The 25,685-nt window shown below is 44.6% G+C and overlaps 2 protein-coding genes and 1 long non-coding RNA gene across 65 annotated transcripts in view, besides 4 other annotated features; 1 reads left to right on the top strand and 2 right to left on the bottom strand.

Annotated features, from left to right (window-relative positions):
• LOC107986092 (uncharacterized) overlaps positions 1-11,800 on the bottom strand; it is a 51,164-nt gene extending 39,364 nt beyond the window's left edge. Inside the window, exon 1 of the long non-coding RNA XR_007095933.1 lies at positions 11,153-11,800. This is a non-coding gene — a long non-coding RNA (uncharacterized LOC107986092). The remainder of the gene's footprint in view (positions 1-11,152) is intronic.
• Positions 9,936-10,545: an enhancer, noted in NCBI's record as "OCT4-NANOG-H3K27ac-H3K4me1 hESC enhancer chr3:58420577-58421186 (GRCh37/hg19 assembly coordinates)". NCBI's record gives its function as "activates a minimal SCP1, AML or CMV promoter by ChIP-STARR-seq in primed H9 embryonic stem cells {active_cell/tissue: H9 hESC(primed)}" and the evidence as "EXISTENCE:reporter gene assay evidence [ECO:0000049][PMID:30033119]".
• Positions 11,288-11,527: a silencer, noted in NCBI's record as "silent region_14489". NCBI's record gives its function as "represses an Ori minimal core promoter by ATAC-STARR-seq in GM12878 lymphoblastoid cells {active_cell/tissue: GM12878}" and the evidence as "EXISTENCE:reporter gene assay evidence [ECO:0000049][PMID:35858748]".
• Positions 11,563-17,765, top strand: PDHB (pyruvate dehydrogenase E1 subunit beta). 4 transcript variants are annotated; one of them, NM_001173468.2, is made up of 11 exons: positions 11,563-11,627; positions 11,711-11,764; positions 13,411-13,518; positions 13,602-13,664; positions 13,767-13,802; positions 14,453-14,552; positions 14,607-14,738; positions 15,157-15,267; positions 15,596-15,687; positions 16,781-16,922; positions 17,216-17,765. In NM_001173468.2, the coding sequence occupies exons 1-11, from the start codon at positions 11,586-11,588 to the stop codon at positions 17,359-17,361; spliced, it is 1,026 nt and encodes a 341-aa protein (NP_001166939.1). In that variant the 5' UTR covers positions 11,563-11,585; the 3' UTR covers positions 17,362-17,765. The 4 variants fall into 4 exon arrangements, 3 of the variants coding, with proteins under 3 accessions (NP_001166939.1, NP_000916.2, NP_001302465.1); NM_000925.4 differs by having other exon boundaries at positions 14,453-14,738; NR_033384.2 differs by having other exon boundaries at positions 11,563-11,764; positions 14,453-14,738.
• Positions 11,588-11,807: an enhancer, noted in NCBI's record as "active region_20012". NCBI's record gives its function as "activates an Ori minimal core promoter by ATAC-STARR-seq in GM12878 lymphoblastoid cells {active_cell/tissue: GM12878}" and the evidence as "EXISTENCE:reporter gene assay evidence [ECO:0000049][PMID:35858748]".
• Positions 15,790-15,869: an enhancer, noted in NCBI's record as "active region_20011". NCBI's record gives its function as "activates an Ori minimal core promoter by ATAC-STARR-seq in GM12878 lymphoblastoid cells {active_cell/tissue: GM12878}" and the evidence as "EXISTENCE:reporter gene assay evidence [ECO:0000049][PMID:35858748]".
• PXK (PX domain containing serine/threonine kinase like) overlaps positions 19,268-25,685 on the bottom strand; it is a 93,236-nt gene continuing 86,818 nt past the window's right edge. For 20 of the 60 annotated variants that reach the window (NR_146194.2, NR_146193.2, NM_001349489.2 and 17 more), the window contains one exon: positions 19,268-20,643. Coding sequence is in view for 58 of the 60 variants with exons in the window: in NM_001349489.2 (NP_001336418.1) it covers positions 20,435-20,643 (209 nt within the window). In the remaining 2 variants the exon portion in view is untranslated. Of the gene's footprint in view, positions 20,644-21,900; positions 21,935-24,826; positions 24,860-25,685 lie in introns of all 60 variants that reach the window. The other 40 variants (NM_001349529.2, NM_001349530.2, NM_001289098.2 and 37 more) reach the window with 5 other exon arrangements.

The raw sequence follows: 25,685 nt of genomic DNA, 5'->3' as shown, positions 1-25,685 counted from the left end.
TGCCACTTATATGAGGTACTTAGTCAAATTCATAGAGACAGCAGAATGTCGACTGCCAAGGGGTGGAGTGTTGGGGTGATCAGACCCAACACCAGGTCGTGGGGGTGACAAAGTCCAGCAGAGTCAAAGGATTGAGAAAAAGACAGTGAGAGAAAAAGGTGGGACACCAGGGGGCCATCACTATGTATGGAGGCTGCGAAGGCCCCGAGCTCTGAGAGCCCACGGTATTTATTGGTAATCCAACAAAGAAACAGGTGTTGAGACTGTGGAGGTCAACACCTCCACATGTTCCATTAAGCACATGATTTACAGCTGTGATGGTTTAGCATTTATATGGAACATGTCCTGCTACTTGAGATAATGGGAACAGGAGCCTAGGAGGGCTAGAAGCAAGCAGCCAGCAAGTCTAGACACATTCCAAAGGACACTATGCAAGCCCTGCCTCAGTTTCCCTCCCTACACTCAGCTTTTTCCCAACAGTGGCGGGAGGGGAGAATGAAGTTATTGTTTATTGGTAGACTTTTAGCTGGGGAAGATAAAACAGTTCTGGAGATGGATGGTGGTGTGGCTAAACAGTGTGAATGTGCTTAGTGCCACAGAACTGCACAACTAAAAACGGTAAATTTTATGTTATGCACATTTTATCACAATTTTAAAACACAATCTAATTAGAATATGGTCAAAAGATGTAAACACACACTTTCACCACAGAGGATGACCTGTCACCAAAGATGGATGGCAAGTCAGCACATGGAAAGATGATCGGGCTGGGCACAGTGGTAATGGCTCATGTCTATAATCCCAGCACTTTGGGAGGCCAAGGTGCAAGGATCATTTGAGGACAGGAGTTCGAGACCAGTCCAAGCAACATGACAAGACCCCTGTCTCTACAAAAATAAAATAAAATTCACCAGGTGTGCTGGCGCACACCTGTGGTCTCAGCTATTTGGGAAGCTGAGGTGGGAGGATCGCTTAAGCCCAGACAGCAAGGCTGCAAGGATCTGTGATTGTGCCACTGCACTCCAGCCTGGGTGACATAGTAAAACCCTCTCTCCAATAATAATACTAATAATATTACCAAGTGCTGGAAAGGATCCAGATGTCTCATGCACTGGGGACATAACATAAATGACACAGCCACTCTGGAAAAAGAGTTTGGCATATTCTGAAAATTTAAACATACACATACCATTACAATCATACAATTACCATACAATCATACAATCTACGATTTCCTGCAGAAATGAAAGCTGATGCTCACCCCTAAACCTATAAGTCAATGTTCTGTGGTAAGCAGGTCTACGTAAACCCCCAAAGACAAAGGGAGGTGAGAGGCTGAAGACAAAGGGTGAAAAATCCAGTTTCTCAGAAGGAAACATTTAGTAGGGACTTACAAACAGAAGTGGCATCTCTGGCAGCCAAGTGATGGTGGATGCCCACAACCAACCTTCTTTCTGGAAAATATTCTTTAATTAGCAAGCTGTTTTTGGTAAAACATGTGCAGCTGGTCATGTCTCAGACCCTCTTATGAAACAACTAGGGACCACTGGGGAAGTTAGATAAGTATCTTTATGAGGGGTTATCTATGTACAGGCATTGTTTCTCTATGAGGAGTTGGATGCTACGGGCATTGTTTCTTGACCTTGTTGTGGGAATGGGAACGAGTTGGTATGCAGACATCAGTCATCACAGCAGTTTCGCTTCAAAATGGTGTAATCTTGCCATGCAGCAGGCTGTTTTCCTACAACCAATGTTGATAACAGCGTTATTGGTAATAGCTAAAACTGGATATAGCCCAAATGTCCTTCAATGGGTGAGAGGGTAAATTAATGCAGCCATACAACAATTTAGCAATAAAACAAAAACAAAAACAAAATTTGGCCAGGCACAGTAGCTCACGCCCGTAATTCCAGCACTTTGGAAGGCTGAGGCAGGTGGATCACTTGAGGTCAGGAGTTCGAGACCAGCCTGGCCAACATGGTGAAACCCCGTCTCTACTAAAAATACAGAAATTAGGTGAGCGTGGTGGCACGTGGCTATAGTCCCAGCTACTTGGGAGGCCGAGGCGGGAGAATCGCTTGAACTTGGGAGGTGGAGATTGCAGTGAGCCAAGATGATGCCATTGCACTCCAGCCTGGGCAACAGAGCGAAACTCTGTCTCATTAAAAAAAAAAAAAAGGAAAAAATTGATACATAATTTGAATGGATCTTGAGGGCATGTCAGTTGATGACAAGAACCAATCTCAAAGAGCTACGTATCGTATGATTCTTGAAATCATACATATTGAACATTCTTGAAATAACAAATTATAGTACTTGAGAATAGATCAGTGGTAGCCAGGAGTTAGGAGTTGGGGTAGATGTGACTGTGAGGTAACAAGGAAGTTTCTTTATGGCGAGGGAACAATTCTGTATTCTGATTGTGGTGGTAGCTACATGAAAATGTACATGTGATAAAACTCTACAGTACTACACACACACACACACACACACACACACACATACACACACACACAAATACATATACAAACTGATGAAATCTGAATAAAGTCTCTCCTGGAGTTAACAGTATAGTTGTACCAAAGTCAGTTACTGGGTTTTGATAACTGTGGCTATATATTATAACTGGGAAAAGGTATACAGAAAATCTTATTATTATTTTTATTTTTAATAGAGATGAGGTCTCACTATGTTGCCCAGGCTGCTCTCAAACTCCTGGCCTCAGGCCATCCTCCTGCCTTGGCCTTCCAAAGTGCTGAGATTACAGGCGTGAGCCACTGCACCCGGCCCAAAAACCTTGAATGAAGGACTTTCTGACAACTGACAAAGAACCCAAAATGTTCTTAAGGGCAAATATTCCGTGTAACCCTGAAAAGATTTAGTTCCGAGAGAAGACTAGTTGGCCAATTTACACCTTGAAATCTCTTTTAGGAAAATCTAGTGAGCATAGAGATGCAGTCATTTTTAAAAGATTATGGATTTAAAATTCACCACTTTGACCTTTTGTGTTTTTTACTCTGTAAACTAAAAATAAAATTATAAGACCCTCAATCAACTGAATGGACCCTCACCCCCTTGGCCAAGGGGATTCCCCAAGACAACCTGAAAAACAAGTTCAGGCCACTAGATGGGAAGGCAGGTAGGATACCCTCAGTATACTTTCCTCGCTTTGGAGTTTAGGTGCCACTGACCAGCATTAACATTAAAATACATTTCTTAAGACTGACAAAACAGACTCTTTATAGCAGTAAGATACCAAATTCCAACCTGACTCTGGTATACCATCACATGACAGATAACAGGGTCTAAAGGAAATGCAAGTATTTTACCCTAAAATATGTTTATTTGGCATATTTTGGAATGGCCCTGCAAAGCCTTGCCTTGGGGAAATTTGCATTCTGTAGAGAATCCCCTTCCTTTTCCAGGTCTTTCCCTGATCCAGGAGAAATTTAACTAAGAGTCTGACACCTTTGAAGGTCTGATAAGAGACATTTACCATCTATTTACTCTGAAGCCTGCCACTCAGAGGCTTCATCTACTTAGCAAAAACCTTGGCTTCCACAACCACTCTTATCTTAACTCAAGCATTTCTTTATGCTGACTTCAACTCTTCAGGCAAAGCTTAACTTTTTCAACCAACTGCCAATCAGAAAATCTTTGCATCCATGTATAACCTGGAAGCATCCCACCCCCGACTTGGAGATGCCCCACCTTTCCTGGCTCAACCAATGTATACCTTACATGTGTTGATTTATGTCTTTGCCTGTATGTCTTTGCCTGTCTCCGTAAAACGTATAAAACCAAATGGTAACCCAACTACTTTGAACCCATGTTCTCAGGACCTCCTGAGGCTGTGTCCTGGGCCAAGGTCACTAAATTATAAGGCTCAGAATAAACTTCTTTAAATATTTTACAGTTTGACTTTTTTCGTTAACAGCTTTCAAACAGAAAATTCCACCCAGCCTTTCCAAACTGGCCAGTTTGAGTTTGAAAGAAAGGCACATGTACTAATGAATATACTTCTTGTCAGGCCTCTGAGCCCAAGCTAAGCCATCATATCCCCTGTGACCTGCACGTATACATCCAGATGGCCTGAAGTAACTGAAGAATCACAAAAGAAGTGATATTTAAATGGCCTGTTCCTGCTTTAACTGATGCCATTCCACCACAAAATAAGTGAAAATGGTCGGTCCTTGCCTTAAGTGATGACATTACCTTGTGAAATTCCTTCTCCTGGCTCATCCTGGCTCAAAAACCTCTCCCGCTGAGCAACTTGTGACCCCCACTCCTGCCTGCCAGAGAACAACCCCCCTTTGACTATAACTTTCCTTTACCTACCCAAATCTTATAAAACGGCCCCACCCCATCTCCCTTCGTTGACTGTCTTTTCGGACTCAGCCCGCCTGCACCCAGGTGATTAAAAGCTTTATTGCTCACACAAAGCCTGTTTGGTGGTCTCTTCACACAGACGCGCATGAAACTTCTAATGTGTCTAAAATGTCCACAGTCATTATTTCAAAAGAACATTCTCAGCTGGGGCCTGTGACTCACATTGCCTTCCAGATTAGCTACACAGACTCAGCGTTCCTGGCTTTTCTGGATCTCTGTATTAAATATATCTCAAGAATACTGTCCTTTGTTTAGACCACGGTCCAGATCCTGGCTTCTCTTTGGGCTATCATTCCTTCATCTTGATGTCTCTCTCAGAGGTATGTGAACCAGAGCAACTCCATCTTGAATAGGAGCTGGGTAAAATGAGGCTGAGACCTACTGGTTAGAGACAAGACTAGCTGGATTTCCTAGGCCGACTAAAAATCCCTAAGCCTAGCTGGGAAGGTGACCACATCCACTTTTAAACACGGGGCTTGCAACTTAGCTCGCACCTGACAAATCAGGTAGAAAAGAAAGCTCACTAAAATGCTGATTAGGCAAAAACAGGAGGTAAAGAAATAGCCAATCATCTATCACCTGAGAGCACAGGGGGAGGGACAACAATCGGGATATAAACCCAGGTATTCAAGCTGGCAACGGCAACCCCCTTCGGGTCCCCTCCCATTTTATGGGAACTCTGTTTGCACTCTATTAAATCTTGCAACTGCACACTCTTCTGGTCCATGTTTGTTATGGCTCGAACTGAGCTTTTGCTTACCGTCCACCACTGCTGTTTGCCACCGTTGCAGACCCGCTGCTGACTTCCACCCCTCTGGATCCGGCAGGGTGTCCGCTGTGCTCCTGATCCAGCGAGGCACCCATTGCCGCTCCCGATCGGGCTAAAGGCTTGCCATTGTTCCTGCACGGCTAAGTGCCCGGGTTCATCTTAATCGAGCTGAACACTAGTTGCTGGGTTCCACGGTTCTCTTCCGTGACCCACGGCTTCTAATAGAGCTATAACACTCACCACATGGTCCAAGATTCCATTCCTTGGATCCGTGAGGCCAAGAACCCCAGGTCAGAGAACAAGAGGCTTGCCGCCATCTTGGAAGCAGCGTGCCACCATCTTGGGAGCTCTAAGAACAAGCCCCCCCACCACCCCCTTAACACTGGATTCCCAGACATTTAGGGCATTCTCAGTCACAGGATGAGATAGGAGGTCAGCACAAGATACAGGTCATAAAGACCTTGCTGATAAAACAGGTTGCAGGAAAGAAGCTAGCCAAAACCCACCAAAACCAAGATGGCGATAAGAATGACCTCTGATCATCCTCACTGCTACACTCCCACCAGCGCCATGACAATTTACAAATGCCATGGCAACATCAGGAAGTTACCCTATATAGTCTAAAAAGGGGAGGCATGAATAATCCACCCCTTGTTTAGCATATAATCAAGAAATAACTGGAAAAATGAGCAACCAGTAACCCTTGAGGCTTCTCTGTCTATGGAGTAGCCATTCTTTTTTTTTTTTGAGACGGAGTCGCGCACTGTCGCCCTGGCTGGAGTGCAGTGGCACAATCTCGGCTCACTGCAAGCTCCGCCTCCCAGATTCACACCATTCTCCTGCCTCAGGCTCCCAAGTAGCTGGGACTACAGGCGCCCACCACCATGCCTGGCTAATTTTTTTGTATTTTTACTAGAGATAGGATTTCATTGTATTAGCCAGGATGGTCTCGATCTCCTGACCTTGTGATCTGCCCGTCTCGGCCTCCCAAAGTGCTGGGATTACAGGCGTGAGCCACCGCGCCCGGCTGCCGTTCTTTTATTCTTCTACTTTCTTAGTAAACTTGCTTTTGCTTTGCACTGTAGACTCGCCCTGAATTCTTTCTGTGCGAGATCCAAGAACCCTCTCTTGGGGACTGGATCGGGACCCCTTTCCTATAACATCTTTCTGGTGACCACTGAAGGGACTACAGTGCGGAAACCCTGGACCCAAACCCCTTACTTACCAAGGTTTTCACCAAAAGTAAAAGTTGCTAAGAGTTAACATTGTAACATGTATTTGAGACTACTAAAGAAACAGTTCTTCTACACGTAAGGCGTGTAGGGAAAGCGAAATGTGTTTTTAGTAAAAGATTATAAGAAGTCACGGGAATGTGGATTTTCTTGTCTAAAGGGTTAAAGGATTGTTTTAAGTTAAACAGGATAAAGCTAAAGGTTTGAGCAAGTTATGAAAAGTTTATAAAAAATGAATCTTGTAAAAAGAAATTCTTTGTGTGAACATATTGGCTAAAGTTAAAGGGGTATTATTCAGTTTTTCCATAAATTAAGCATTGGACTAAAAGTACAACAGGTTTTTCTTAGAACACTAATCTGCTCTTTCACAAAAAAAGTAAAGGGTTAATAAAAGGTTTATGAAAATCTTACCTATGGTCAAACTAATTGAGTATTCCTAATTTATGCAATATAGTTATTTGCATAAGTGCAAATAAGTATCTGTTTTCTTTTGCAACAGGACACAATTGGAGAAACTGGTTATTTTATCAAGGCTTTGACTGGAATGGCATGTTTTCTTTTAAGGAATTAAACTTAACTTATAGAGCCAATAGAAGCCCCTTGGGGAACTGGCCTCATACCTTGCCTACACAGTCCTTGTACAGGATTTCTGACCTGTGGTAAGTAAAGAATGTCACTTTCTAACAGACCCAGGAACTCCAAGTTATCTTGGAACCTCAAGAAGAGAGGAATTTACCCAACTCATACGTATTTGAGGGTACAAACCCATGGCAAAAAGTCTTATCTAAGATTCCTTCTTTGGAACAGAGTTCCAGGAAAGCCAATTTAAAAAGAGCTTATGTGGCTGGCTGTGGTGGCTCACACCTGTAATACCAGCACTTCGGGAGGCCAAGGTGGGCAGATCACTTGAGGTCAGGAGTTCGAGACCAGCCTGGCCAACAAGGTGAAATCCTGTCTCTATTAAAAATACAAAAATATTAGCAGGGCACGGTGGTGGGCACCTGTAATCCCAGCTACTTGGGAGGCTGAGGCAGATGAATCGCTTGAGCCCAGGAGGCAGAGGTTGTAGTAAGCCAAGATCGTACCACTGCACTCCAGCCTGGGTGACAGAGTGAGACTCCATCTCAATAAATAAATAATAAAAAGAGCTTATGTGAAAAATAATTATTCTTGCTACACTTTATATAAATAATCAGGCCAAGTATAACAAAGCAAATCAGTCTTACCAAGATTTGCCTTTAGTAAAAATGGGAAACTGGAGAGAGAAATATAATGTTTCAAGAACTTATGGTACACTGGTTATTAGATTCTAGTCTCATCAGTTGTTTTTAAGTTTGTTTCTGCAATTTAGGCTAACCCAGCTTATTCCTGTGAACCAACCAGTGATCTCTGACTGCTGCTCAAAACAAACAAGAGTGATGGTGTCAGGTCTCTGAGCCCAAGCCTGCACGTATTCATTCAGATGGCCTGAAGCAAGTGAAGAATCACAAAAGAACTGAAAATGGCCGGTTCCTGCCTTAACTGGTGACATTACCTTGTGAAATTCCTTCTCCTGGCTCGTCCTGGCTCAGGAGCTCCCCGACTGAGCACCTTGTGACCCCCCACTTCTGCCAGCCAGAGAACAAACCCCTTTGACTGTAATTTTCCACTACCTACCCAAATCCTATAAAACGGCCCCACCGCTATCTTCCTTCGCTGACTCTCTTTTTGGACTCAGCCCGCCTGCACCCAGGTGATTAAAAAGCTTTATTGCTCACATAAAGCCTATTTGGTGGTCTCTTCACATGGACGCGCATGGAAGATGGGTAATGTAAAAATCTGAATCGATATTCTAATTCTGAACACACTGGAATCAGCTAGCAACCCCACATCAGCTTGGTTCCAACAGTTGCCCAGTTCATGGAAAGCCTTCTAATTTAGTTTACTTGGGATAATTTTACTTATTTTGCTTTACTCTTGTGGAATATATTGCTATTGTACTCTTTGTGTAGGAGTGCAGGATAAGCTTACTGAATGTTTTCTTAAACTGAATACTTATTAATCTTCCAGATATCACCTTTTGTCAGAACTTGGAGTTATGAATGGCCCTCACTATACTGATGTTTTCTGAGCTCCTCTCTACTCTGAACATAAGGGACCCTAATAGTTAAGCAGGAATATCATCACCCCTATTCAGCCTGAAGAAGTTACAGAAGATGCATCTTCATCCCTCCGAAACTTTTAGGATTAAAGTTTCTCTCATAATAGGGAGGAGGCAAATGTCAGAGGAATGTGAACCAGAGCAACTCCATCTTGAATAGGAGCTGGGTAAAATGAGGCAGAGACCTACAGGGCTGCATTCCCAGACAGTTAGGCATTCTCAGTCACAGGATGAGATAGGAGGTCAGCACAAGATACAGGTCATAAAGACCTTGCTGATAAAACAGGTTGCAGGAAAGAAGCTGGCCAAAACCCACCAAAACCAAGACGGCGATGAGCATGACCTCTGGTCATCCTCACTGCTACACTCCCACCAGCGCCATGACAGTTTATAAATGCCACGGCAATGTCAAGAAGTTACCCTATATGGTCTAAAAAGGGGAGGCATGAATAATCCACCCCTTGTTTAGTATAAAATCAAGAAATAATCATAAAAATGGGCAATCAGCAGCCCTCAGGGCTGCTCTGTCTATAGAGTAGCCATTCTTTTATTGCTTTACTTTCTTAATAAACTTGCTTTTGCTTTGCACTGTGGACTTGCCCTGAATTCTTTCTTGTGTGAGATCCAAGAACTCTCTCTTGGGATCTCGATCGGGACTGCTTTCCTGTAACATCTCCTTTTGCTTGGCAAATCTGATCCTGAAATCTTTTGGTGCTAGGTTGTGGGAAAGGTGGGAAGGACTGATTCACTTTTTCATTCTGAGCACCACCCACAAACTTTTGGGGGCTGAAATCTCAAGTTCAGGAGTTTCTCAGGGATGCTGTGGCAGTCTAGGAAGTGCTGGCCATTCCTGAGGCCCTGGCAGGGACAGTTGGGACTAGACGATGGTGGCAGGTGAGGGAGACTCAGAAGGTGTTGATTCCATATCTTGAAGATCTTCTATCCATTTTACAGATGAAACAGTCCCAGAGAGTAAATGTCATCTCTATGCAGCTGTCCCCAAATTTCTACCTTTAGCCCTGACTAGGCCCTAGGCTCCAGGCAACCTGGGTATGTCCCAGTCATCTAAAGAATAAAGGCTGGCTGCAGTGGCTCATGCCTGTAATCCCAGCACTTTGGGAGGCTGAGGCGGGTGGATCACTTGAGGTCAAGAGTTCAACATCAGCCTGGTCAACATAGTGAAAACTCATCTCTACTAAAAATAAAAAAAATTAGCCGGGCATGGTGGCAGGTGCCTGTAATCCCAGCTACTCGGGAGGCTGAAGCAGGGGAATAGCTTGAACCTGGGAGGCAGAGGTTGCAGTGAGGCCCACTGCACTTCAGCCTGGGTGACAGAGTGAAACTCCATCTCAAAAAATAAACAAAAATACACTCTTACTTCCCCAGCTCCTGGCACTTACACTGCCCCAGGCTCCTCCCTTACCCCATCTATCCATCCAGCAATGACAAAAATCCAAAATTTTCCTCTGCTCTTCCCTAGCACTTACAGCATTCCTATTGATTCTAGCCCAAATAGATCTCAAAACTGTCCCCCTCCTCTCCATCTGGAAGTTGCCTCCTAGTCTGCCTCTGTTGCTGCCACAGACTTCCCAGCATCCGCCTGTTCTGCCTTTGCCTCCACCCCCTCCCATTCCCAGTCAGCAACCTACTGGAAGTTGCAAATTCCTAATTTGGCAGCCTGCAGCTGTGATCCATAGAAGGGAATGTTTGGAATGTCTTGGGGATGGGTGGAGACTGGGTGCTCAATTGTCCCATCTGACCCCCAAGGGCCAAATTAAGACTAATGAGCTTCCAGAGGTTGTCCCTATGGCCAAGTGTTTGGCACCTCCCCATAAGGGAGGAGACCACCCCTCATATTGTCTTATGCCCAATTTCTGCCTCCAAAGAAAGAAAAAGTAAAAACTAAAAGGCAGAAATGAAATCCACAAACAGACAGCCTGGTGCCACACCCTGGGCCTGGTAAAGATCGACCCCGACCTAATCGGTTATGTTAACTATAGATTACAGACATTGTATAGAAAAGCACTGTGAAAATCCCTATCCTGTTCCAGTCTAATTACCGGTGCTTGCAGCCCCTAGTCACATACCCCCTGCTTGCTCAATCAATCATGACCCTCTCACGCACACCTCCTTAGAGCTGTGAGCCCTTAAAAGGGACAGGAATTGCCCATTCAGGGAGCTCGGCTCTTGAGACAAGAGTCTTGCCCATGCCCCTGGCCGAATAAACCCCTTCCTTCTTTAACTCGGTGTCTGAGGAGTTTCGTCTGCGGCTTGTCCTGCTACATCCATAGGGCCGCCCTTCTCTAAAGTTGTTGTAACCTTCCCCCAAGCAGGAATCCACTTCTGCTTTAGGAAGCAGTGGGAAAAAGACCATGCTTTAGAGTCAAGACAGTCCTAAATTAAAATATCGGCTCATTTAATCAATTTCTGCTTCAGTTTAACCGTCTTCAAAATGGAGATAATAATAACACTAATTACCCAAGTGGGGTACTGTGAGAATGAGCTATACAGCACATATCTCAATGCTTGGCTCACAGTAGGTGCTTAATGCAATCAATGAAAGCTATGATGTGCATTATAAGGAATCAACAGACAGCACTGTCCAGGGAAGACTAGACTCACTCATGAAGTGTTAAGTTCCCCATCAGTAGAGCGTGTGCAAGCACTTCTTGGTGCCCAAAGGATTCCAGCACCCACAACAGGTTGGCCTAACTCTTAAGGTCTCTCCAGCTTCCAGAGATCATGCTCCTCAGGGTCTGACTTCTAGTCCCCACGCTTCAAGTAACACCGACCAGGCACGTGTGCCCAGCGTGCACCCCGCCTGTCGGTCACCGCCTACTGTCAATAAAGTTGATTTGAGGCGGCTCCAGGCAGAGGGGCACGGCCACCCACACGCCACCTCAGCCCGGCCCCGCGGCCCCTCACCCGGTGGGCGGGTGGGCGGGTCACGCAGCCGGCGCGCCTTGCCATTGGCCCGCGCCGGTGGAGGCGGGGCCTGCTCACGTCTGCCGGCCCCTCTGTTGTCGTTTGGCAGCGGATAGAGGACACGACCAAGATGGCGGCGGTGTCTGGCTTGGTGCGGAGACCCCTTCGGGAGGTAGGCAGCAGCGCGCGGCCTGTATTCCCACGCGACCCCTGCCCACCCTGCGTCCCGCCGTCATCTTCCTCTCTCCCTGCCAGGTCTCCGGGCTGCTGAAGAGGCGCTTTCACTGGACCGCGCCGGCTGCGCTGCAGGTAACAGGCGCGGGTGCTCGTCGGACGAGGGCGGGGAGGGTCCCCCCTTCTCTCGGGAAGGAGGCCGGAGTCGCGCCTGCGCTGTGGCCTTCCGGCGCCGTGGGCCTTGGGTTTGCGGAGCCAGCATCCTCCGTGGAGCTCCTGCTGCCTCTGTCGCCGCCTGGCAATTAGCACACCGGCGAGTCACCACCTCACAGCTGGCTGGGCAATGGGGGAAAACTAAGACTAGGCGTTTCCTCCCTCACTCCATGTTTTTTTCTTTAAATTGCAGCAAAATAGACCTAACTTAAAATGTACTTTTTAGAAGTGTATAATTCAGTGGCATTAAGTACATTCACCATGTTGTACAACCATTAACCACCATCCATTTCCAGAACTTTTTAATCATCCCAAGCAGAAACTGTCCATTACTCGGTAACTCCTCATTTCCCTTCCCCAAACCCCTGGTAACCCCTGTTGTACTTTTCTGTCTTTATGAGGTTGCCTATTCTAGAACTTCTTATAAGTGGCATCATTTGTCCTTTTGTGTCTGGCTTATCTCAGCGTAATGTCCTCAAGGTTCATCCATGTTGTAGCATGCGTCAGAGTTTGATTCTTTCCTAAGGCTGAATAATATATATATGTATATTTTTTTGAGATAGTCTCCCTCTGTCACCCAGGTTGGAGTGCAGTGGCGCGATCTCAGCTCACTGCAACCTCCACCTCCTGGGCTCAAGGGATTCTCGCGCCTCACACTCCTGAGTAGCTGTGATTAGATGCCGGTGCCACCACACCGGGCTAATTTTTGTATTTTTAGTACAGACAGGGTCTCACCATATTGCCCAGGCTGGTCTTGAACTCCTGGCCTCAAGTGATCTGCCTGCCTTGGCCTCCCAAAGTGCTAGGATTACAGGCATGAGCCACCTCGCTCAGCCCGACATTTTCTTTTTTTTTTTTGAGACGGAGTTTTGCTCTTGCTGCCCAGGCTAGAGTGCAGTGGCACTATCTCAGCTCACTGCAATCTCTGCCTCCTGGGTTCAAGCAATTCTGCCTCAGCCTCCCGAGTAGCTGGGATTACAGGCACCCGCCACCACACCCGGCCAATTTTTGTATTTTTAGTAGAGAATGGGTTTCACCATGTTGGCCAGGGTGGTCTCGAACTCCTGACCTCAAGTGATCCACCTGCCTTGGCCTCCCAGAGTGCTGGAATTACAGGTGTGAGCCACCGTGCCTGGCCTTGTTTTGTCTATTGTGAGTAATGCTGCTGTGAACATTGATGTGCAAGTATATGCTTGAATCCCTGCTTTCAATTATTTGGGGCATATACATAGAAGTGGAATTGATGGATTGTATGTTAATTCTCCTCTCCTTCCTTTTTTTAACTAGATTTTACCATTCATTATATTAAAAGAGCAACTCCTACATTCTGGATGCAAAGTATTTGGCAGTACTTGGCACCTAGTGAGCACTCAGTACATTAACACATGCAAAGACCAACTATGTGTAATAGAAATGTTACTTTTAGAATTCTTTGAGTTTTTAGAGAGAAGCTTGTTCTAGTGTTTTTATATTGTATGCTGTGGGCAGCCTAGGTAAATATAAAGGAAGAAAATCTTAGTTGAATCCCAAACAATTCTGTATTGACTGTTTTTGCATACCTGTGACAGGTGACAGTTCGTGATGCTATAAATCAGGGTATGGATGAGGAGCTGGAAAGAGATGAGAAGGTATTTCTGCTTGGAGAAGAAGTTGCCCAGTATGATGGGGCATACAAGGTAACTAAAATATATGAAAGTTATACAAAATTGAGGTCACTGTTACCCCCAGATACACTTAAGGGATCAACTCTTAATTGTAGGTTAGTCGAGGGCTGTGGAAGAAATATGGAGACAAGAGGATTATTGACACTCCCATATCAGAGGTAAGCCTTCCAGTGGGAAGCAGACCCTGGAGGGCATGTCTGTTAGTGTCCATTATCCTCATTTTTATGGATTTTCACTTATGTTTATATTTTACTTTATAGATGGGCTTTGCTGGAATTGCTGTAGGTGCAGCTATGGTATGTAATACTCTTTATGAAACTTATCCAAAGACATTTCTTGTTTTCTTTTTTTTTCTTTTGAGACAGAGTCTCACTCTGTTGTCCAGCCTGGAGTGCACTGGCACCATCTCAGCTTCCAGGTTCAAGCAATTCTCCTGCCTCAGCCTCCATAGTGGCTGGGGTTACAGGTCGCGCCACTGTGCCTAGCCAATTTTTGTGTTTTTAGTAGAGATGGGGTTTTACCATGTTGGCCAGGCTGGTCTTGAACTCCTGGCCTCAAGTGATCCGACCGCCTTGGCCTCCCAAAGTGCTGGGATTACAGGCGTGAGCCACTGTGCCCATCCCCAAAGAGATTTAACATCACCTTTTAAAAACATCATTTGGGAAAAAAAAAAAATACCAAGTAGGTAGATGTGGTGGTGCTTGCCTGCAGTCCCAGCTACTCGGGATGCTGAGGAAGGATTACTTGAGCCTAGGAGTTAGAGGCTGCAGTGAGCTATGATGTGTGCCACTGCACTCCAGCATGGGTGACAGTGAGACCCTGTCCATAAAAAATAAAAATAAAAAATAAAAACATTATTTGAATGTTGGAAGACTTGGAGTGATTTGTTTGCTACTGTTTGTTGCTGTTTCTAGTCTTTTTAACATCCACGTTTTTGATTTTACAGGCTGGGTTGCGGCCCATTTGTGAATTTATGACCTTCAATTTCTCCATGCAAGCCATTGACCAGGTTATAAACTCAGCTGCCAAGACCTACTACATGTCTGGTGGCCTTCAGCCTGTGCCTATAGTCTTCAGAGGGCCCAATGGTGCCTCAGCAGGTGTAGCTGCCCAGCACTCACAGTGCTTTGCTGCCTGGTATGGGCACTGCCCAGGCTTAAAGGTGGTCAGTCCCTGGAATTCAGAGGATGCTAAAGGACTTATTAAATCAGCCATTCGGGATAACAATCCAGGTCAGCACAGGGACCCTTTGGTTTTTTTTGAAGATTGAAAAACTAAAATGATATATTTGCACAGAGGAAACCATTAAAGTCTTTTAGTTAGGCTTAGATATATCGTATAGAATGTTAATACTTTATATAGTAAAGATAGTAAAGAATGTGCTTGCTTTTCCTATTTCCGAATATAAGGGGGCCAGCTAGGTAAAGGGGACATTTACTGCACACCCACAATACTGGTTTGATAGATAAAATTATATTGACCACTACAAATTTAAGTACCTAAACTGCTCTCAAGGCTGCTGGTCATGGTAGAGATAAGGCTAATCAGCACAATGAAACTTCTCACAAGATGAATGATATTGCTTTCTATGCAGTTTTAGTCATTCTGGATGTGATTAATTACTTTTGTTTAAATATTTATGTTTTTCAGTGGTGGTGCTAGAGAATGAATTGATGTATGGGGTTCCTTTTGAATTTCCTCCGGAAGCTCAGTCAAAAGATTTTCTGATTCCTATTGGAAAAGCCAAAATAGAAAGGCAAGGTAAGAAAACTAAGATATATAAACAGTATTTTTAATCCAGCCCCTCAATTTTGGTAAAATTTAATCTAGAAGTTACTGTCATTTACTTTGACTGAAAAATTATAGGATGAGCTCAAGATGCCCCAATTTCTCATTCAGTTGTGCTTTTCTAGATCTCAGTCTGGTAGGTTTGTGTTTCATTTCTAGGAAGGCTGCCACATTCCTCAGCTCACTGGAATGAAGTTGAATTGAAGACTTTATGAATGAACAAGAGCCACAGCTGGCGGCACAGTGGTGTAGCATCTTCAGTTTCAACCTGATCTCTGATCTGTGACCACTCTGTTTTCAGGAACACATATAACTGTGGTTTCCCATTCAAGACCTGTGGGCCACTGCTTAGAAGCTGCAGCAGTGCTATCTAAAGAAGGAGTTGAATGTGAGGTGAGTGGACATTTACTTGTTCTTAAAGAATTAGAAGGGCTCCTTTTAGATTTAAGACCCAGAAGAGTTCTGTAACAGGTTAATTAGATGTAAAACCTTGCTTTGTCACTCATTTCTGTCTCTGCTTAAAGCTGGGAACCTGCCTGCAGTTCACATACTTAGCTTTTTACCACTCAGGTCACTTAGGTTCTGGATCTTTTTTTTTGAGAGACAGTGGGAGCTCTCTGAACCTCTTCTGGTTCTCAGTGATACCCCCCGAGAGAGAAAAAAACAGGCTTTTGTTCTGTTGCCCAGGCTGAAGTGCAGTGGCTGGATCATGGCTCACTGTAACCGTGAACTCCTGGGCCCAAGTGATGCTCCCACCTCACCCTTCTGAGGTTCTGGATCTTTTAGAAACTCACCATGTGCTAGTTATACTTGGGCAAGTTATATACTCTAAATCTGTTTCATCAGCTATAAAACAGGGATAATATAAATACTGTCCCGTCATAGGGCTGTTGTGAGAATTACACTTAGTGTAGTGCTTGGTACATGATGGGCACTCAGCTGTTAACTGTTAACTCATTTTGATGAGGGAATTTAAAGTGAAGGAGGATTGGCTGGGCGTGGTGGATCACCTGAGGTCAGGAGTTCAAGACCAGTCTGGCCAACATGTTGAAACCCCATCTCTACTAAAAATACAAAAATTAGCTAGGCGTGGTGGTCTATGCCTGTAATCCCAGCTACTCCAGAGGCTGAGGCAGGAAAATGGCTTGAACTGGGAAGGCGGGGGTGGCAGTGAGCCGAGATCACGCCACTGCACTCCAGCCTGGACAACAAGAGCAAAACTCCATCCCAAAAGAAATAAAAAAGTGAAGGAAGATAAATGAATCCTATAACTGCACAGAGCTGCTTGTGGTAGACATACAGATCTTTGTTTTAATTAAAATTTTTCCTTTTACAGTTTGTACATTCATGAATAGGTATTCATAGGCAGATTAGATTTTCCTAGATACAAAGATTAACAGGAAACAAAAAAGGAAATGGTATTATGGGGATAAGGCTCTATTTGTGCTGCAATAGCTCTGTAAACTTGATTATATTACCTGTTTAGGTGATAAATATGCGTACCATTAGACCAATGGACATGGAAACCATAGAAGCCAGTGTCATGAAGACAAATCATCTTGTAACTGTGGAAGGAGGCTGGCCACAGTTTGGAGTAGGAGCTGAAATCTGTGCCAGGATCATGGAAGGTATTTCAAAGAAACTGGTTCTAGAATACAGTCAAGCTATAGTAAACATCATGTACCTGAATACGTACAGGATAAAGAGATTGAAAGCTAGGAGTGGCCAAACGACTTCAACTTTAAACTTGTAAGTTTGGCATTTCTCTTCAGGCAGATATTTTTAAAAGCAAATCCAGAAAGCGGTTCCCCATAATTAGCATTCCTTACATTTTCTCTTCCTGGTCAGCCACACCTCTGTGCCAAGGTGGTAGTGCCCAGCTGGCATTTGCACTCTCTCAGTTGAGCCTTCCTTCTCCTAGGTCCTGCGTTCAATTTCCTGGATGCTCCTGCTGTTCGTGTCACTGGTGCTGATGTCCCTATGCCTTATGCAAAGATTCTAGAGGACAACTCTATACCTCAGGTCAAAGACATCATATTTGCAATAAAGAAAACATTAAATATTTAGTTTGGACTTGAATATCAAGTCGTTGAAATTTATTTGAAATACTTGCTGGCACTGCACCTGGATTTGTACTGCAAGACCTGACTATTCATAACGGAAAACGATTTCTAAAGCAACAGCAGGTATTTTTGTACAGGGAAGTTTAAATGTGTTTGTGTATGGAAAACTCTCCACTCTCCTCCCCTAGATGCCATGCTTCCTTTTGTCTGTTACGGTTGCCATGTTCTTTGAATAACAAATTATATAACATTTTATCCTCTCTCACCACAAGGACAAAGTATGGATGTGGCAGAGTCCTCATGAAAGATGTATCCAAACAAGATAACTTATATGTATAAAATTAAAGCATATAATATACATTTACTGTTAGTTTGTTTTGATAAGGAATAAAGGAATTTCTAACATGACTAATTTTTTTTTTTTTGAGACAATGTTTGGCTCTGTTCCCCAAGCTGGAGTGTGATGGCACAATCTTGGCTCACTGCAGCCTCCACCTCCCAGGTTCAAGTGATTCTCCTGCCTCAGCCTCAGTAGGAAATTAGCCACCACATCCGGCTAATTTTGGTGTTTTTAGTAGAGGTGGGGTTTCACCATGTTGGCCAGGCTGGTCTTGAACACCTGACCTCAGGTGATCCACCTGCCTTGGCCCTCCCAAACTGCTGGGATTACAGGCATGAGCCACCACACCTGGCCATGACTATTGTATTTTTATATTGAAAGAATTGGCTGGGCTGGGCGTGGTGGCTCATGCCTGTAATCCCAGTACTTTGGGAGGCCAAGGCGGGCAGAACATGATGTCAGGAGATCAAGACCATCCTGGCTAACATGGTGAAACCCTGTCTACTAAAGCCGGGCATGGTGGCATGCGCCTGTAGACCCAGCTGCTCGGGAGGCTGAGGCAGGATAATTGCTTGAACCCAGGAGGCGGAGGTTGCAGTGAGCAGAGATGGCGCCACTGTACTCCAGCCTGGACAACAGAGCAAGACTCCGTCTCAAAAAAAAGAATTGGCTGGGTGTGGTGGCTCAGACATGTAATCCTAGCACTTTGGGAGGCCGAGGTGGGTGGATCCCTTGAGTGTAGGAGTTCAGGACCAGCCTGGGGAACATGGCAAAACCCCATCTCTACAAAGAAAAGATAGATAGAAAAAAAAAAAGTCAATGTGGGTAGAAAACTTGAAATTCTATTTATTAAGAAATTAGTGCTGCCAGGCCACAGTAGCTCATGCCTATAATCCCAGCACTTTGGGAGGCTGAGGCAGGGATTGCTTGAGCCCAGGAGTTTGAGACCAGCCTGGGGCAACGTTGCAAAAACCCTGCCTACAAAAACAAAACAAAAAAAACAAAACAAAAAACCCAGGTATCTGGTGGTGTGCCTATAGGAGGATTGCTTGAGCCCTGGGAGGTCAAGGCTGCAGTGAGCTGTGATTGGGTCACTGCACTCCAGCCTGAGTGAAAGAGCGAAACCCTGTCTTAAAAATAACAACAAAAGAAATTAGTTCCATGTGGAAAATAAGCTGATACTGTACAAGACCATTACCTGTTTGTATTCATATATCTGAACTATCCAGAATAGTCAGCAAAACTGACTTCAGAAGGACTCAGGCCTCACAAGCCTCCATCAGGTAATCACCTAGGTTGCATCACACTTGAAACAGGAACTTCTCCACAGACTCTCCAAATGCCTAATTCTAATAGCATTCTCTTTAAAATTATGGCAAAGTTTATATCAGTTGTTTTTCCCATTTCCAAAGATCAGATATTCTGTCAAATACTGCCCTCCAGAAGCTGAGATGGAAAAGATGGGTTTAAATTAGTTAGAGAAGCATATAGGTGGTACCTAATTTAAGTAGCAAGGCAGGATTTTTAGTTCTTAGAGGAAAAGTGAGACACAAAAGAATAAGAGACAGGATAGGTAGGAAGGAAACCTTAGACTGTGTGAATCTATTCTTTGCTAACAACAGACGCTACAAAAAGTTCTCATTTGAAATATCTTGTCAAGCTACAGACAACACGTTTTCTTGACATGATTTTAATAAAAAATACAGCTGACATAACAGATTACATGAAACTATACACAATGACATTCTCTGCATAGTAACCAACACTGATGTGTGTACTTGAATTTTTAAATGGATTATTTATAATCCTTTAAAGTGCAATTTATTGAAAGGTTTAAGCAAATCAGGATAAAGGATCTTTCTAATAAATGACTAACATTAAAGAGATGCTATATTGATATATTTAGATAAATCTTTCAAAAATCATAATTGATTTCTATAGATGCCAAATTTACTTCTGTTGTAACAATGACCTGCCCCCCTCAAACCCCAAACTTAATTGCTGAGGATTAAGAAGATCCTCTAATTGGCAAGAGCTTTTTCTGATGTTAATATTTTTGTCTGTTTCAATACATCTAACTAAAAAGAACTATGGGTCTAGAGTAGTTGCTTTAGCAGCCCTGAGTTCTATAACCACAATGGTATTCCTGTTAGAACTTAAGAGAATGTTGTGAACGTTCCCCATTCTATTTGAGGAGAAAACAAAGAACTCAGTTGCTTTCTGATTTAGCAAAGTAACTATGCTTTGGGCTATAGTGTTAATGTCTAAGATAAAGGTAGCAAAAATTGGAGTTATCTAAGAATCAGAAAATGCTTTAGAGAAATGAACTGTAAGAGGAATGTTTCTAGGAGCTGTCTGATGGGGTAGAAGGGATTGCAACACAAAGGCCATTTACTGCTGTGATTGAATATTGTCATTGTTTTTCTGTCTATTTCCTTTAGTTGGTGAAAATATTTCAATATGCTGCTGTCCCAAAAGCCTGGCCATTAGAGGATAAACAAGACTCCTTTACAGGGTTAATAAAGGAGCAAGATCTTAAGGGAGCAATGCCAGCCTAACTTTATTCTGCTTAAAGAATTATTTCTCTCGAAAAGCTGCTTACATGAGCATCTGCAAAATAGTACTGTTTGTGGCTGTACTGGCTCAGCAATTACTTTCCCAGGAAGAGGGTAGTTTGGGGGGTAGGGGTGAGTAGGAATAAAAAAGAACTTTTCCCTCCAAGTGTAAACAGGAAGCTTCAGCCGATCTTCGGAGCACTGTGATCACAGGTTTTGGCTTTCCTCAAAGTTCCTTTTTGGAAATTCTGGATGGAGCTGAGCAAGGCCCCTCGGCTCATGCCATTCACAGCCTGAGACGAGAGCTGGGCAGGTGCCTCGGTGCTCGCAGGAGGCAAGGGAGCTGCTGGTGGTGGTGGAGGTGGAGGAGGTGGAGGTAATGCAGATATCCCTGTGGAGGAAAAGGGGGACAATCAGTATTCACCTCCACAGCTGCCCTGCACACACGCTGCTGCTCAGTCCTGAGCACAACGGACTGGTGAGAGTCCACATGTTTTTCTCAGAGGGACCAACATACCTAGTACTGTATGAGTTCTTAAAATACTAAAGAAAGCTAGAAGCATCAAAGGGGAATTAAAAGTTGCCATGTTTCTCAAACAATAGTCATGTTAAAGGCTGTTGGAACAAATAATTACAGATTACATGAAACCACATATGGTGACATTCTCTGCATAGATGAGGCTCTGACCCCATTTGCAAAGTAATAGTCCCCAAAGAAGAGTTCCATCTATCAGTTACTTTAGCCAGGTCCCAGGAAGCTCTGTCTGCTTCTGAGCTAGCAATTAAAGATAGACATCTGCATGATGGAGTTGGGCTTCCTGAATGTCAGTTATTCATAAGGGGTGAACAGTTCTTTCGCTGCTCCAACATACACAATGTTTGAAGGATGTGATCTTATGTAAAATGACAGACCACTCAGGATTCTCAGCAAGGAATCAGTGCCTCCTGGGTTATGCATTTCCCAGAGGAGTCTGTCTCGAATAATAATTTCCTATTAGGTTGCATTAAAGAAATATAAAATGCTAATAACTGTTAGCAATGCAAAGCAGGGGGCAGAGGGGTCTCTCTGCCATGGTATTCTTACAGAGAAATCCTTCTCAAGTACTGTTCTCTCCATTGTGGCCCAACCAAGGAACAGGACATAACTGCACTAAATGTCTTTGACGAAGCATCAGGAGAAACTAGAATGTCGTGCTGTACCGCAGTGGGCAAGGAGAGGGAAACTGGGCAGGTGTCTAAAACTTCCCTCAGCTTCCAGGCACATGGACATTTGCAACTCGAATTTTATATTTTAGAATCAATGAATGGTTCTCTCAGGACAGAATAAACACCCGAGTTCAGAAAAAGCCTTGCCTTAAAGAATGTTCCTGTGCCACAGTTAGTTGCCTCGTCTCCTGTGACCTTGCAGCTCTCTGAGACTCTGTCAGATGCTGTCTCTGTCCCTCCCAGGGCTACTCCAGGGAGACATTCTGCCAGGTGGTTTCCCCTACACTGCTACTGAGTTGTGATAAGTAACAGGTAAAGCTACCCTACTTAAGTTTGTATGGACGACTGGCTCAGAATCACCAACACAATACTCAGGTAAGTACATCCTTTTCACCAAGTGTGACAGGTATGGGTTAAAGTCTTACAATAGAAAATCACTTACCTTTCTTTACATCTTTTACTCAAACCTAAGGCAGCTGAAATTAAAGAATCACACAAATACACACGCTCATGCTCTGCAATCTTGGAATGCTCAAAGATAGCAATACAAATAAAGACTAAATACAGACAAATGACCAACATGTTCATTGGTTCTACACAATAACAACTGATGAATGAAATTGTTATGTTTTATGCTAAGGTGGATTGTGGGAAAATGTTCCTGGCTTTATGTCACCAGGTTACAGAGATAAAAAGGACTTTAAACCTGAAGTAACTGTTGAAGTGGGAAAACGGAGAATAAGCATGTGTGATGAGCATTCCTCTGAAGAGGACTTCTGGAGAGCAACCAGTGAAATACCAGGAGGAGGGGAGACCTCTGCTGAAGGTTTTTGGAACTGAGTCTCTTGACTGCAACACCAAGTGGGCCCGAAGGAGTGAGCTCTGCCCACTTGGGGGTAAGTAGGTGCCAGTGCCCTTCCCCAGCACCCTCCCACCCAATAGCCAGAAAAGGGCAGTGGAATCTGGACTTGATATTCAGGGCCACGTAGTGTAACAGAAGGAGCTCCAGGGTTTCTGCCTCCCAGGTTTGTGCTTTGACCCCCGGCAGAAGAATCACTGTGCAGTTAAGGACAGGCTCTCGGCTGCGGCGGTACTTGGGAGTTCTACTAAAGGCTCAGCACTGGCCATCTAGAGACTGACTAGCCCTCCAGGCAAGGATTTTGGGGGGCTGGAGACGGGCCTCAGGGCTGGGCTGAGGGGTAGGGGCTGCCATCTTGGCACAGAACAAAACTGCTTGGCCTCACAGAGAACCAACCCTTGGTTTTGGCGTCATTACCAGGCCCTCAAAATTAGAAGTGCAAATGCACCACCGCAGAGTTTGGGAGTTGAGGGTGGGGTTCAGTACATGGATTTTCCACTGTCCAAGTAAATGGACATGGATTTTCCACTGTCACTTTAAATGAGTCTCTTTGAAAATGTAGGTGGTGTCAATAAATACACTGTCCAAAGGGCTCCAGGGCTCCAGTAAAGCAGATGGAACGAAAGGACAGGCAGCAGGATCTCCCTGATGTGGCCTCAGCAGGCTGGAGCAGTCCGGTGGGGCTTGATGTCCCAGCAAGTCCACTTTTCCTCACTGGGCCTACAACAACCATGGTGGCTCTTATGTACAACCAGGGCAAGGAAGGCCAGACCCAGCTTGCCAGTTTGGAACACTCTGGAGGGGAGAGGAGGTCTAGGGGTCAGAAGGTGGAAACTGGAGGAGGCAGGAACACAGACCTGGGACTCGGTCTCACTCAGTCTGCCCCATTGATTGTTTTTGGCTTTTCCTTTTGGCCCTTTCCATGGTCCACAAGCTTCCTGAAAGGTCCGTTGGGGCTTCAGCTACAACACATGGCTAACAATGGAGGAAGAGGGGGCAGGGGCAACAAGGGCCAAATGAAAGTTACCATTTGGCCTGTGACAAACCTGGGAACAACTGCCTGCTGCCTGCGCGCTCTCCACCCCTCAGATGTGAATGAGGCCTTCCTGCCAAGAGACCTCCAATACCCTTATCTCCAGGCCACATATGAGAGCAGACCGATTCCATGTTAGACTTATGATACCTGAATTTGCACCCAGGAAGGGGGATGCTGCAAACAGCTTACCTTCAGTTACGACCAGGTCAGTCCCGATTTCTCCCATCTCACTTTCTCTTAGACAAAATCCCTGAGAGCCAACTACTTACTCTACCCACCCCAAAATCTTCTCCACCAAACCACACGGGAACCTGGCAGTCCAGCAGAGGCCCTGTCAGAGGGCAGAGAATGCTGCAGGGAGAGCGTAGGTCAGATCTAGGGAGGAATGCCAGGCCAGAAACCCCCTTGACAGCCTTGTGGACAGGATGTCTGAGGGTCCCTCCCTCCAGTTCCTTTTTTTCTGAGATGGAGTCTCGCTCTGTTGCCCAGGCTGGAGTGCAGTGGCGCGATCTCGGCTCACTGCAAGCTCCGCCTCCCGGGTTCAAGTGATTCTCTGCCTCAGCCTCCCGAGTAGCTGGGATTACAGGCGCGTGGTACCATGCCCACCTAATTTTTGTATTTTTAGTACAGATGGGGTTTCACCATGTTGGCCAGGTTGGTCTTGAACTCCTGATCCTTGTGATCCGCCCGCCTCAGCCTCCCAAAGTGCTGAGATTATAGATGTGAGCCACTGCGCCTGGCTCCCTTCCCCACCGACTCTTAGGCCCATGTTAGCAGCCAGCAGTGGGTAATCTACAGTCTCTCTAATTCTGAGCTCCTTTGTGGTCACATACAGGAAGGGAGGCCAAGTGGCCATGAGACCACACTAGGGTAACACCAGACTTACCAGCCACCCTCAGGAGAGAACCGAAGCAGGCAAGCCCCCAGCTCTCGGGAGAACCACCTTCTCCTTTGGCTTCAGGCAGGTGAGGAGGCTGTACTCCTGTCACAGCTCGAGAATTATAAAGGATGCTTACAAAAGAACTGTTTTTCCCTACCGTCAGTTATAAAAGCCAGTAAGTTGTCTCCCTGTAACTAAGAGCTCAAGTGCCTAACACTCTTTCCTCTTCATCAGAGTAACTAGGAATCAACATTTTTGCAGCAACGGGACTTTGAGAGTTATGGTTTCCAAAATTAAAATATACCAAAATGCCATGCAGTTGATTTGCAGGTTTTAGAGCTGTATTTTAAAACTGAAATCAGAGTGAAAATGAAGATTTTGAAGGTCATGATGAAAATGAAATGAATATAGATGAAGTCACTGGGTGCTTTTTAAAGATGCTGTATTTCATTTAAATATTCAGATAAGGAAATAGTCTCAAATCTGCTTTCCCACTTGTTCATCACTTCAGCAATCGAGACACTTTGGGTCCTATTTCACACACAGAAACAGAGCATCTTTAAAGTCTGAGAAATCAGCATAGTTTACTTTACCGAAAATTCACGTTCAAAATGGTGCATGCTCTACTGAAAACAGCAAAGAGAGAGAGAGAAAGGGGGGACACAAGTCATTATTCAGATTTTAGTGTCATTTAATCAAATAGTAACAGACAGTAAAATATTAGTCTGAATCACAAGCTGATTATTCTCACTTCGAAACTAGGATATACTCAAATTAACCACAGCACTGGTTTGTAAACACGATTGTGAGCCTTTTAAAACATGGCAAACGTATTTATAGAATAACCAATGAGTCGCTTTTTGAGCCACCTAATGAGTCACTTTCTTCATGTTCTTTGTCCTCTGAGCCAGTTAGATACTATTTTTATTTATTTACAAGCATGACGCTCACTTCAGAAAAGCCATGAAGGTTTTACCTCTGAAGAGCAGAATGGATATGAGGAGTGTGCTTAGTTCTATTATTAAACAAGGACAGTTGATCAAGATGGGAGAAAAATGAAAACCCATAACTTTTTTCCAAGCAAGTCTTCTAGAGTCTACAATAGATTTGTCTCTTTAAAGTTGGGAGGAGTGTGAGCAGGCCTAAGGCCAGAGATCCTGGGCAAGCATCCTCAAGGCGGAAGCACTGGGCCCCTCCCTGAGGCCCTGTGAGCCCCTCCCTAGAGGCTGAATTGGGCAGTGAAACTTACTTAAGGCCATAAAGCCGTTTTAAAAAGGAAAGCAAGGCAAATGTTTTTCTTGTCTTCTTTTAAACTGACTAGATCCCCAGCTAAATGTGAAGGATCATGCTTTGGTAAATCTCAGAGTTCCTAATGAACCAACTCTGCCCCACAGCCTTTTCCTGGAAAGGGGCTGGGAAACGGAAAAGAGGCCCTCCAGCCTTCTCAGTACC

Source organism: Homo sapiens, chromosome 3, assembly GCF_000001405.40.
Source record: "Homo sapiens chromosome 3, GRCh38.p14 Primary Assembly".
Classification (NCBI taxonomy): Eukaryota; Metazoa; Chordata; class Mammalia; order Primates; family Hominidae; genus Homo; species Homo sapiens.
The sequence above is the reverse complement of the archived record's forward strand: the minus strand, read 5'-3'. Positions and strand labels throughout refer to the sequence as shown.